Source organism: Homo sapiens, chromosome 16 (genome assembly GCF_000001405.40).
Source record: "Homo sapiens chromosome 16, GRCh38.p14 Primary Assembly".
Lineage (NCBI taxonomy): Eukaryota > Metazoa > Chordata > Mammalia > Primates > Hominidae > Homo > Homo sapiens.
Window position 1 is genome coordinate 72,944,705 of NC_000016.10, and position 12,700 is coordinate 72,957,404.

At 48.2% G+C, this 12,700-nt stretch overlaps 1 protein-coding gene across 10 annotated transcripts in view, besides 3 other annotated features; it reads right to left on the reverse strand.

Moving 5' to 3' along the window:
• ZFHX3 (zinc finger homeobox 3) overlaps positions 1 to 12,700 on the reverse strand; it is a 1,109,046-nt gene that overhangs the window by 161,820 nt on the left and 934,526 nt on the right. For 9 of the 10 annotated variants that reach the window (NM_001386735.1, XM_047434166.1, NM_001164766.2 and 6 more), the window contains one exon: positions 5,765 to 6,261. In NM_001386735.1, coding sequence (NP_001373664.1) covers positions 5,765 to 6,261 — 497 coding nt within the window. Of the gene's footprint in view, positions 1 to 5,764; positions 6,262 to 12,475; positions 12,699 to 12,700 lie in introns of those variants that run through there. The other variant, XM_047434169.1, reaches the window with a different exon arrangement.
• Positions 2,126 to 3,325: an enhancer, noted in NCBI's record as "BRD4-independent group 4 enhancer chr16:72980729-72981928 (GRCh37/hg19 assembly coordinates)". NCBI's record gives its function as "activates an origin of replication core promoter dependent on BRD2, P300/CBP, MED14 and CDK7 cofactors, and independent of BRD4, by STARR-seq in HCT116 cells {active_cell/tissue: HCT116}" and the evidence as "EXISTENCE:reporter gene assay evidence [ECO:0000049][PMID:35650434]".
• Positions 2,126 to 3,942: a biological region, named in NCBI's record as "VISTA enhancer hs16".
• Positions 2,297 to 3,942: an enhancer, noted in NCBI's record as "VISTA enhancer hs16". NCBI's record gives its function as "enhancer in: other[6/6]" and the evidence as "EXISTENCE:transgenic organism evidence [ECO:0001131][PMID:17130149]".

The window sequence follows — 12,700 nt, forward strand, 5'->3', positions numbered from 1 at the left end:
AATAGGGAATCCACATTTTATTACTAGCTTACACTTGAGGTAAACATGGAATGCTAACCTTTTAAGAAATAATTAAGAATACAATACTATTCTAAAAGGGTCTGGTCAGTTCTTTACTATCCACAAAAAGGACTCAGAAAAGAGAGAGAGAAAAAAAACACTAAAAGCATTTAGAAAAAAGAGAATAAAAGTGCTATGGTTAATGGTTGCAAAACTGGTTTTTCAACAGGTGGTTTTTAAGTACTAAACTTTTTTTTTTCAATAGGCACAACTAATAAGATTTCAGTTCCATTATGTGGTGTCTAAAGAGTGGAGTGAAAAGATATCACTGACCTGATCTTCTTGACATGAGGGTGTGTAAAATGCTCTAACCAGAGTGACCCACACAAAGCTTGTGCCTAAAGCCATCGGCTGAGAGTGTGAAATACAACCTATTGGACGAATGTGGATGAAGATAGGTGGGAAGCTTCTGGAAGGAGGAAAGAACAAGGGACCTCCCAGCAAGGTACCCAGCTTTCATGCCGCACACCACTGGTGAATCATGAGCCATACGTTCCCACAGCAGTGATGGATGAACTTGGTCCTAGCACAAGCCCTGCCCCCCAAACTATTTGGTCTTTCCATCTCCTGGAGTCCTCTTGAAGTTAACTGGTGGCCACAAGAGCTGTCAGAGTCAGCCCAGGCTCTCAGTAAGAACCCATCAGGCCCACGTGCAGCCTCCCAGCCCAGCTGCAGAGACCCACGTCCCACCAGCACCAACCATCAAGCCACGGAAATGAACCGCAGGCCTCCAGCTGCTCCAGGAGAAGGAGGGCATGCAGGCGAAATCTGCTAAAATTCACCAAAACATCTGGCCTTGCACACCTTCTAAATCACCTGCAGGAAAACATTCCTTTCCTTTCATTTTTTGGTTGAAGGCATCAAGGTAGGGAGAGAAGGTGGCAGAAGTATGTACTTAAAACAAACAAAAAAAATAGTCTAATAATGAGAAAACAAGGTTTGAGGCAACTGGCTCCAGAATCCCGACGCAAACCATATGACACTTTCACCGGAGCTTCAAACACACAGCCAAGCTGGGAAGGCAGGACGGGAGGGAGGAAGGGGACGGTCCCCAAAGGATGTATGCTTTTTGCTCTCAGTGCAAGACAAAGGCCTCCAGGCACCACCTACGGACGTAAAATGTGTAGCTATCTTCCTAAGACCCCCACTTCCCCCCAGCACACCCACAGAGGAGCACCAAGAATGCAGATTTCAAACCAGATCATTGTCTGACTTCACCTACATTTTCTGATTTGCCCGTCTACCATACGATGATTTTATAGCCCTGCTGGGAGTGTGAATCCCAATGAGTTTCTTATGCATCAGGGAAAGAACTGAAAAGATGGGTTCTAAAGCAATGCAAAGTCTGATGGAAGTTTTCTTACATTCTTCCGTACTGCACAATCCTCCTAGAATGGCAGGAGCAGACATCCTCTATGTGGAGAATCTGGCCATGTGCATGAATCAATACCACACTCTGCCTCCTACCTCAGGCCAAGCAGAGTTGGCTTGGACACTGGCTTCTCCTCTCCTGTGTGCCCTGTTGGCCCACAGCAGCTCACATGTGGCCCAGACTCAACACCGTGGTAGACAACCCTCCTTGTACAGTATTTAAGATTAACAGGTAACCTTCAGTCTTGGTCCAATCAAAGGAACCCCAGCTAGAAACCGTTTTGAGTAACAGATTCTGGTAGGGTCTTAATCTATCTGCTAAAGTTGACAGATTTCCACTCCAATGACTCTCAGGTGAAGAAAAACATCAAAGTGAAAAACAGATTCTGGGAGATGGTGGGAGTGTGCACTGATTTCCAACTGCCCTTTCTGTGCCCCGCCCCCTCCGGGTAGAAAGCAGCACACATTTCAGAGAGCTCACCATGGACGTCACTTGGCTGGGAATGCAAGATAAACGTGGAAGAGCTGGTGCCAGCTCTGAACCCACACGCCTCAGACGCAGGCTGTACACTAGCCGTGGGAGAGGGCAGAGGGCAAGCATGTGTCAGTGACAGCCGCTCTCCTAGTTCTGAGGATCAAGGGCACCCACATCTCTACGGGTGGAGAAGATTGAGAGTGGGGCCAGGGTGTAGTCCTCTGAGAAAGGAGTGATACATTTACATGTGAAAGCAGAAGGATGAGGAATTAAGGACCCCGGAGCTCAGTCCCAGTTGAGAGACAAGTGCCTTCTGCATTTTTCCATGCTGGCTCAGATGTGACACTAAGGACAGAAAGAGCCCAGTTCCCAAGCTTCACTGGAGCCTCTGGGCTTCTTGCTATGTCAGCCAATCACGGGGATCCCAAGACGGTAAATGTTAGGACGTGGACATGTGAGCATTAGGGGCTAGGCCAGAGCCGGCCACTGTTTCAACCCAAAAGATCCCAAGGATTTCAATCAGGAGCACTTTGCAGAAGTAACCTGAGGCCCAGAGACAAGGTAAGGGGGCTTCCCCCGGATGCCTCGGGCCCTGCGGCATTCCCCTACTCCACTCTACTTCCAGGAGGTGCAAAAGAAAAACAGGTTGAACCTAATCCTGATTTAAACATTAGTATCACACAAAAATCAAAACGACACCATTCCAGGCAACGAAGACAATATCATCAGGTTTTGTAGATTAGCACAACCCTCTCTCATTTCTGGATTAAAAATTATCTCACGCTTTCAGAAAGTTCACTCTTACAGCAATCTACGCACTAGCATGCGTGACAGCAAGGGCAGTGACTCCGGCCCAGGGTGAGGTCAGATGACACACCGAAAGCCATGCCACTGCTTGAATCTCCTGAGAATGCAGCTCTGTCTCCTCCAACATGAAAAAGGAACAGGAGGAGAATAAAAGCCTCGGCTGAAAGAGAGGTCTGGGAGGGCCACCGGGAAGCCACATACATCACTGCCACTTCACTAGGTGCCGCGGAGAGCAGCTTTGGAGAGCCGCCCTGGCTGATCATGAATAATTTGCCAGGGAACCGGGACAGGGTGGGGTGGGGAAGGGGTGAGGAAGGAGGGTTGTGTGTGAGAAGCCCGGTCAGCTCCCCGGGTCAGCTGCATCTGGAGCGGTTTCTCTAGCAGACAGTAAAGAACTCGATTACATCCAGTTAACTGTGCTCTAAACTGATTATGCATGTGCCGGGCTAATGGATTACATTAGCAAGAGGAAAAATAACATGCAATCAATCTCCATTTACTACAGGCCACACCAGGGCCTAGAGAAAAAGTGACTCTCAAACCACCTCCAATCCCCACCCCAAATCCGTGGAATGACGAAACCTTGAGAGGGAGCCTTCCTTAGTGGCAAGAGAAGTTTGATCTTAGTCGTACTGAGGGACCAAAGGGCTGAGGGCGAGCACTGGAATGACAATCCCAGCGGTGTCATCCAGGAGTGAGCGGGAGAGCTCCCCGCCCCCTGTGGCGAAGCCCGGGCAGGCACAGGGCCATTCATTACCCAAGGACTAATGAGACTAGACTAATGACCTTTGGCTCCTGACGGAGGCAATTCTGCCCTGAACCTCAGGCTGGTCACTCCGGGGATGTGCCGGCCAGATGCACCATTTCAGGATCTCTCCTTCAGGTGCTGGGTCCACGTTCTACCCTGCATCCCAACGCTCAGGACCCTTCTACCCACGCCATCTTTTTGAGCAACAGTTTCCTCTACCTTAAAAAAAGAAATGAGAAAAAAGTCCCAGGATGACAGGCCAGCAGTGCAGAAACATGCAAATAAACCTCGTCTCTTCCAACCACACCTCACCCTGACTCTCTGGGTGTGATCCGTGGACACAGTTTGGGGACCAAAACAGGATGTTCTCAGCAAATCCGCCGAGTTCCAGGCCCGTAAGAAGCAAAGTCAAGTGCCTGACAGACTCTTATTCAAGACTCCAGCCGCACGGAGGATGCAGCATGAGAGTTAATCGCCACCGTGTGCATTTTAGAGTCTAAAGGGCAATTTTTTCCTTGGATGCAAGAGGCCAGCTTCATGCCACCTCTAAACGACCTTCATCAAAGTTGCATGCAACCTTCAATGGCCACGCCGAGTCCTTTGTACAAATTTTACTCAGTTGGGTCCTTTGGAAATTCTTTTTTCCACTGGTTTTTCCATCAGGTTTTCTTGACCACGTCGGCACCATCCTGTGGCCAGTTCAGACCTCCAATTTAAACTGACTGCAAAGGGCTTTTTTCTTTTAATGGTGGCAAAACTAAGCCAGTCCAGCAAGGTTCTTGCTCATTTGAGATAAGGGGATTGGATGCGTGGTGTCCAGACCTTCCTCACTGCACCATAGCTGAGTCCACAGTCAGTTCCAGAACATTCTATCCCCTCTACCTCATTCCTGCTTTCTCCTCCTTTCCCTAAAGTGCTTTCTTAAGCACTACGTTATGCAGGCCTCCCCACATCCTGAGAAGGAACAACTATAAAATGAAGTACAATTATCAACCCCGGCAGAGGCCGACATGGGCAAAGGACTAGAAGTCTTCCTTATATGGAATCTCCGTTTAAAATCATTCTGAGTAGAGTAGGGACTCAACTAGCTCGGGGCCAGCAGAAACCAAACACTCGTGGGCCCAAAGACGCGAGAAACAGTGTGAAAGGCAGGAGGAGAGGCTGATAATGGGAGTGAGGAAAATGAAAAGAGAGAGCGAGGGAGTGGAAGGTGTGTGGGATCAGGCCAGGGAGATTTATGGCGATTTGTACCTGATTGTTCATACTAAAGCCATTATGGGATGATTAGAGAAAAAGGTGAGGCTTTAAGTCCAGTGAAAATCAATAGAGACGTCTGGAGCAATTCTGCCGTGCAAGTGAAAGGACTATTTACAGTATCCGGAGCACCTCCCCCTCGGTTGCCGTCTATGGAGTAGAGGGAAGGGCTGGGGGGAAAGCGGAGGGTGGAGGGAGAGAAAGAATAAATGGACAGGAAAGAGGGAAGAGGAGAAGAGACAGAGGAAGAGGGGGAGGATGGGAGAAGCCCAGGAAGAAGAAGAAAAAGTATAAGGAAGAGAAAGAGGACACAGAACCCAGGAAGCAACAGAGCGGGGAAGAAAAAAAAAACACACAAAGGAGGCCCCTCATGGACCCAATTTTCCCCACAGCATTTAGCACCTTCTAGCCTGCTACAAAATTTATCCATCGTTTCTCACCCATCTCCTGCTAAAAGAATGGAAGCTCTATGAGGGCAGGGATTTTCTTTTCTTTTTTTTTTTTTTTTTTGGTCAGATTCATGCACTGATGTGAACAAATGCCCAGAACAGTACCTGTCATTGAGAAGGTACCCAGTGTACATATGTTGGTGGAATGATGGATGGATGAAAGAAGGAAGGGAGGAACAAAACACCCCAGGAGCATCCGGGAAAGGAGAAATAGAAAAAAAAAAAAAGGAATAAAGAGATGGAAAAGGAGAACAGAAAGCCTAAAGGAGAGAGGGAAACCACAGGAGCAGAGGATGCAAAAGAGCCCATGTAAGAAAGAAAAGAACCAACCCTAGAGGCGCTGTCAACAAAACCTGACCCAAAATTGGGCACCCAGAAAGAGAACCTTCAGCTAGTCAAGCTACTCACTGAACCTGTCACGTTTCCACCTGGTGACAAAGTGGACACCGCCGACTCTCCTCTCAACTCCAGGTTCCCAACCAACAGCCAAGCAGGCCATGCCAGAGACTGTCCGACTCCTCCCCAGTGCTCCCTAACTCCCCGGTGCGCAACCCCCTCCTTTCAGAAAGAGCGCCTGAGCCATAAGGAGCTGGGCCTTACCTTGTACAACTTCAGGCTGGCCTCGTGCCTGGAGTTGACCGTGTGCAGCCGCAGCTTCTCCAGGCTGTTGGTGTAGTAGTCACAGGCGTTGCACTTGAGGTGCACGGGGTTGCCGATGGCCACACACTTGAGCCTCCACTCGTTGGCCTTGCCGCCCTCCTTGATGTGGGCCACCAGCTGGTACTTCTGCACGTGCTTGTCTGTCTTGCAGTGCAGCTGGAAGTTGGCCTTGAGCTGGGTGTTGTAGCGGCAGAGCTTGCACTGGTATGAGTCCCCCATCACCGCCTTCCACTCGTCCTCCGACAGGCTGCGCTCCACGTTCATGTGCAGGCCCAGCATGTCCAGGTTGTCCGTCGTGAACTTGTTGCAGACGGCGCACTGGAAGAGCTTCAGCGACGGGTCGTTGGTCTGGATGAAGCTCTCGCCCAGGTTCATCAGCTCCTCTGACACCAGCTGCCCGCCCCCGAGCCGCATGTCTAGGGGGATCTCACCGCCCACTGCAGGGAAGGAGAGAAGGAGAGAGTCAGACACCAGGCTCATGGTCACGGCCACAGCTGAGGCACCCCCCAGCCCTCCGCCACCCTCAACTGGGGTCCAAAAGGAGAAGATGACATTTCAAGTGTTGCAAAGGGCTACTGGCTGGAAAACAAGCAAACAAACAAACACAGTCAACCTGATGTGTTTCAATCTTTCCTGCGGACATTCTGAGATTTCTGGCAGGTTTTGTATTTTCTTTCTTTAGGAAAAGAACACCTAGAAAAGTTAGGAGCCATAGCCTCTTTAATATTTCCTTTTCTTTTTTTTTTTCCCGAGATGGAGTCTTGCCCTGTTGCCCAGGCTAGAGTGCAGTGGCACAATCTCAGCTCACGGCAACCTCTGCCTCCCGGGTTCAAGCGATTCTCCTGCCTCAGCCTCCCAAGTAGCTGGGATTACAGGCACCCACCACCACGGCCAGCTAATTTTTGTCTTTTTTAGTAGAGACAGGGTTTCATCATGTTGGTCAGGCTGGTGTTGAACTCCTGACCTCAGCTGATCCAACTGCCTCGGCCACCCAAAGTGCTAGAATGACAGGCATGAGCCACCGCGCCCAGCCACCTCTTTAATATTTCAATTCATCCCTTCTCTGAGATCCAAGAAAAGACAGAAATATGTATCATTCACTGGATATAACAGAATCTCAAACTGCAGACCTTCCAAAATTGGAAATGAGTCACAGCTGCAATCGTAACATACCAAGCCTTCATGGGGAACCAGAATTGGGCCCAGAATGTATCTGAGGTGGCAGTGACCAACATGACTTTCTGCCACCTTGAGAACAATCTATGGCTGTGTCATCTGGTGCAGCAGTCACTGGCTACCTGTGACTAATAAATACCTGAAATATGGGTAGTGCAACTACGGAACTGAATTTTCAATGTTATTTAAATTTAGGAAGCTACATGGTGGTGAGTGGCGCCTGGGTTGGATAGTGCATCTCTAAAGCAAAGATCTGGGGAGTGGGGCTGGACGTGGTGTCTCACACCCCTAATCCAAGCACTTTAGGAGGCCAAGGCAGGCAGATCACCTGAGCTTAGGAGCTCAAGACCAGTCTGAGCAACATGGTGTACAAAATATACAAAAGAAACTAGCCAGGCATGGTGGCGTGTGCCTGTAGTTCCAGTACTCAGGGACTGAGATGGAAGGATGGCTTGAGCCTGAGAGGCAGAGGCTGCAGTGAGCTGAGACCATGCCACTCAGCTCAGCCCTGGTGACAGAGCAGGACCCTGTCTCAAAAACAAAACAAAACAAAAAAAGACTTGGAGAGTAATCCCTCTACTCCTCACTGCTGCCCTCTGGTCAATATCCCTCCCGTCAGTCAATGCTGCCAACCCTCCCATGTCTTCTCAGTAGGGCTACCTGTTCTCTTTCCTGATCCTCTGCCCTGGGTGACATGTGGGGCTACCCTAGGACCAATCACCTTCCCTTTATCACTCAGTCACCTACCTACAGAGATGCACCATAGCTGGGATCCCCATCAGGGCACCACCTCCCTAGGACAGGGGTCCAGTCTTATCCTCGCTGGCCCTCTACAGAGTGCACAGACGCCCAAATGTTTGCTGTGCCAGACAAGAGTGAAAAAAGAGCGGGACTGCTGCACGTTCAGGAAGTGGATTGAGACAGGCAGTGAGACACGAGGCTCAGCTCCACGTCTCCACGAAAGGGCCGGGCGAAGATCTCTTCCTCCCTCTCCCACCCTGGTCTTTTTCAGTCCATCACTGCCCTGCATAAACCGGGTACAAGCTCACATTTGCTATGGTAAATTAATACTGCAAGGGCTTATTTCTACCAGGAGAATGGCTTAAAAAGAGCAGCCTTCCCTCCAGTTCCTAGAAGCGTACGGTCAAGCAGAAGGCTGGGCACTGGCGTCTAGTTTCTCTTTCCTAAACACACGTGCACTTGAGCTATTAGGTCTGCCCCACCCCCCAAGTGAAATTTAAACTTGACCTTTTATGTGTGGTTGGGCTGAGGTTATTTTATTTTTTACAACTGATTAGAATCCAAGTCAGTGGCTCATCAGAGAAAATATTTTTTTCTTTTTTTTATGATTTTCTTATTGACGCTACACAAGTCACCTCGAGTGATAAGATCAGTACAGGTTCTGCTAAGCAGACCAGCAGCTGCGTTTGAAGCTCACGGACAGTCTAGCAAGCCACAGAAATCTTTTGCACATGCATTCCAGAAGGCTTAGGAAGCTTTCGGCTTGTTGTCTGTCTTCCCATCTCCCCTGGTGAGAGGAACCATAACTATGTCATTCTTTTTAGGATAAGAAAGAAAAACAGAAAGGAAAAAGAAAAAAAAAAAAGCCTAAAAGCTCCATCCCTTAACGGGGACGAAGGCCAGGCAACATCCAGGAAACATACTCAGTGTTCAGTCAAAGCAGAAACTGCCCGGAGGGTAAGACAAGGAGCAAACATATATTTGTTTCTGATGCCAACCACCTGAAGCATCAAATCGTCTCCACTTTTTAGATTTCACCCCGGCACATCAACATCGCTCTAAAGAGAAATTCAGCTGTCACTTGCTGATGCCTGAGTGAAAATGAGAAGTCCTTGGAATAAGCAGAGGAACGAAGTCCCAGTTTCCACTTTAAGCTCTTTTTTTTTCAAGAGACAAGGTCTCATTCTGTTGCCCAGGCTGGAGTGGGTCACTGCAGTCTGGGCCACCAAGGCTCAAGTGAACCACCTGCCTCAGCCTCCCAAGTAGCTGGGACTACAGGTGCACCCCACTACGTCTGGCTGATCTTAAAACAAAAATGTTTTGTCGAGATGTTGCCCAGACTGGTCTCAAACTCCCAGGTTCAAGTGATCCTTGGACTCCCACAGTGTTGGGATTACAGGCATGAGCCACCATGCCTGGCCAGCATTCTAGGCTGTTAAAATGAAATGCAAAGGACAGAAGCAGCAGAGTGCTGAAATGAGTGAGGATGACAGGCAAGTGAAAACTCCCTTCGAGAACTATGCCTCAGAGAAACAAGCCCAGGGCTTAGAATCCTACAAATCCGCTAATCCAGCTGCCACAAAGTGGGGGAATCTCACCCAGTTCACAAACAGGAGCAGGGCCCCTATAAATAAGAAACTGGGGCTGGGCATAGTGGCTCACACCTGTCATCCCAGCACTTTGGGAGGCCAAGGTGGGCAGATCACCTGAGGTCAGGAGTTCAAGACCAGCCTGGCCAATGTGGTGAAATCCTGTCTCTACTGAACACACAAAAATTAGCTAGGCATGGTGGCGCATGCCTGTAATCCCAGCTACTCGGAAGGCAGAGGCAGAAGAATTGCTTGAACCCGGGAGGCAGGGGCTGCAGTGAGCCGAGACTGCGCTATTGCACTCCAGCCTGGGCGACAAGAGTGAAACTCCATCTCAAAAAAAAGAAATGAAAAAAAGAACTTGGCAGGTCCTTAGTCTTGAGCCACACTGGATACGTGGTCTTGGAGCAGGTCCCCATCTCTGGGTATGCACCTAACTCTAACACTGGAACTGACACCTTGACACGTGAGCCCACCCATCAGCACATCCTCAGGAAGGTGCATGGATTCAAAGGCACACTCTGGAATGAAAGGGAGACGAAGGGAGCTGCTAAACCTTGTGCAGGTGTCCAGGGGCTGGCTGGCTACTTGGGAAACACACAGCCACCCCGACAAGCAACCCCTTTCTTGGTGCTATGCTAAACTTCAGAGTCGAAAGGAAGGTTTGGGAGGATGTTCACAAGGCCTCAAATCTAATGTGCTGTCTACAAAGAGCAGCAGATCCGACTGTACTAGGCGAAGGAGCCCCAAGCCTTTCCTCAAAGGCTTCTGAAAAGAAGCAACCCCACAATCAGTGTCTGTTTGATGATACTAAAGAGGGCTCTGCCAAGGGAAGTATGAAAACAATCACCTTGTAAAGAGGAGTGTATTTCACAAAAACATTTTTCTCCCTGCAGAACTCAGTCACATCTAATAACACCTACAGCCATCTTATAAATGGACCATGGGGAAAAAAAACCAGTACAGCCACAGCTAGAACTGAAAGTTATGGCTGTTTTTATTTGCATAAGTTGGTTTCTCCTACTGAGGTCATACAACTCAAATTCCAAGTCTTTTGGACACTTCCTATGGCCCCCACACCCACTCGAGCTTCTGGCATAAAGGATTTGTGGCTCTCACACCTTCTCAGCAGTTTTCGCGGCCCAAGGAAGGCACAGGTTTCCAGGGACTCCCCGTGGCCGACAAGTAGTGACACTGGAAATTCAAGAGCCCTTTGTGACTGAGCTGGATAAATCCTTTGGGAGGAAGAGCTCCAGTCTAAGAAATATGGTGTGGCCCTTCCATGTGTGTCTACAACACAGGGCTTCATTCTTCTGCTCCTTCTGAATCTGCCGCAATGCCCAGGACAGTGCATGATGCCCCAAAGACTCACAGACACTTGGTGTGAAAGCGAAATATTTCTCTACTTCTCAATACAAGCCTTAGTTACCTGTTCTTAAGGTAATTAAAAAGCCTCACTTTAGGCTGGGCACAGTGGCTCATGCCTGTAATCCCAGCACTTTGGGAGGCCAAGGCGGGCAGATCACCTGAGGTCAAGGGTTTGAGACCAGCCTGGCCAAGATGGTGAAGCCCCATCTCTACTAAAAACACAAAATTAGCCAGGCATGGTGGCGGGTGCCTGTAATCCCAGCTACTTGGGAGGCTCTGGCAGGAGAATCGCTTGAACACAGGAGGTGGATGTTGCAGTGAGCCGAGACGGCACCACTCACTCCAGCCTGGGTGACAGAGCGAGACTCTGTCTCAAAAAAAAAAAAAAAAAAACCCTCACTTTGACCCAACATGAACCTACCCACGTTCCCACGTTCTGTCTTCATTCCACCTCCGTTATGTTTGATTTGCTCCAAGATCTACCTCCCGAGATTCTATGACTCCTTCTAATTCCTACTGGCTTAAAGAAAACCTTAGAGTACTCACTCCCATCTCCTGGTGTGCATGGTTCACCCTGGTGACAAATAAGACGACCAGTGCTTGTGCATCCACAATTAGCCAGTTGGTTTCAAATACCCTCAAATCATTTGGTAATAAAGGATCAACAGGCAAATATTTCAAAATGGAAAATGAGATTAAAGTACTAAGGATTAAAAACTGAATACATAGCAAGAAAAACCAATGGAATGCTTTGAAATATAACTCATCGGCAACAATTAGCACTCAAACACCACACAAATAAACACTTGCCAACTGCTGAGGCCTGGCCCTGCAGTCATCTAAGCCATCCTGGAAAAAAAGTCCTCACTGACACTCTGTTGCCAAGAACAACCTATTCCCATGTCAATAATGGCATATTGCTTAATTCAGGCCATTGTCACTGGTCCCACGAAGTCCATTAGCAGCGTCACGGGATGGGACGCAGGCAGGATCCTGTTTGAAGCATACCGGGTGGAGGCACGAGTGGCCCAACTATCAGAAGGTTCTCATGAAACCCATCTGTAGATTGTTTTGGCAGCAGCAGCTATCCTCAAAGTGGCTGTGGTTCGTTCTACGTAAAAACTCAAAGTTTTTAGCACCCAAATCCTACACTCTTGGTCCTATTCTAGATATTGTAAGCCAATTGGTAAGACTGGGAGCCTGAACAGAGCCAAATCAGCTTCTCTAAAGCAGAGGTCATTCTTCCTGGCAGCGAAGGCTCCGCTAACCAGGATCTAACTGCTATTAAAAGTTAACTTTCCTTGATGGACAATTTTTACAACTTACTCATTTTTCATCTCTCACACCCCTCACAACAGTGCCACTGGGGAATTTAATTCCCAATTAATTTCCAACTATTCTAATCACCAAGTACTCATCAAAAATAAGCAAAAAAAAAAACATCTCTTTCATTGAGGTCCTCATAAATATACAGAGAACTTTGAGAAGTCTATCTGGATGGTTCCCTAGCTCGGCACAGAATCAGCCTTTAGTTATCTGAATAACGTACACTGTGGTTCCGAATTCCTATTATTAAGATGATTGTCTCTACTTAAATCATTGAGGTAACTGTCCCTAGTCCTCTTATTGAAATGATTGCCTCAGCTACAGTTTCCTGTAAGTTTCAGTAAATATTCGATGAAACCCCAAAGTTTTAGGTGATTATAGTGATTTTTCAAATTGAAAGAAGAGACAGAGAAAGAGAGAATGGGAACAGAAAACTAGAGGAAACACTCACATTTTAATCCTGGCCCCACGTAGCCAGAGTACAAGCATATCTCTTTTGAATGCATAAACTCTTCCATATGTACACACACAGTTCAAGGGATTCTTGAGAATACTTGATTGTAAGACACTCCAGTTTACACAAAAACCACTCGAGAAGACCAGAGTCAACTGAATCCACAGGACTATCTCACCCTATTCACCATTCTCCCTGGTTAAACTCCTATCATGAAAACAG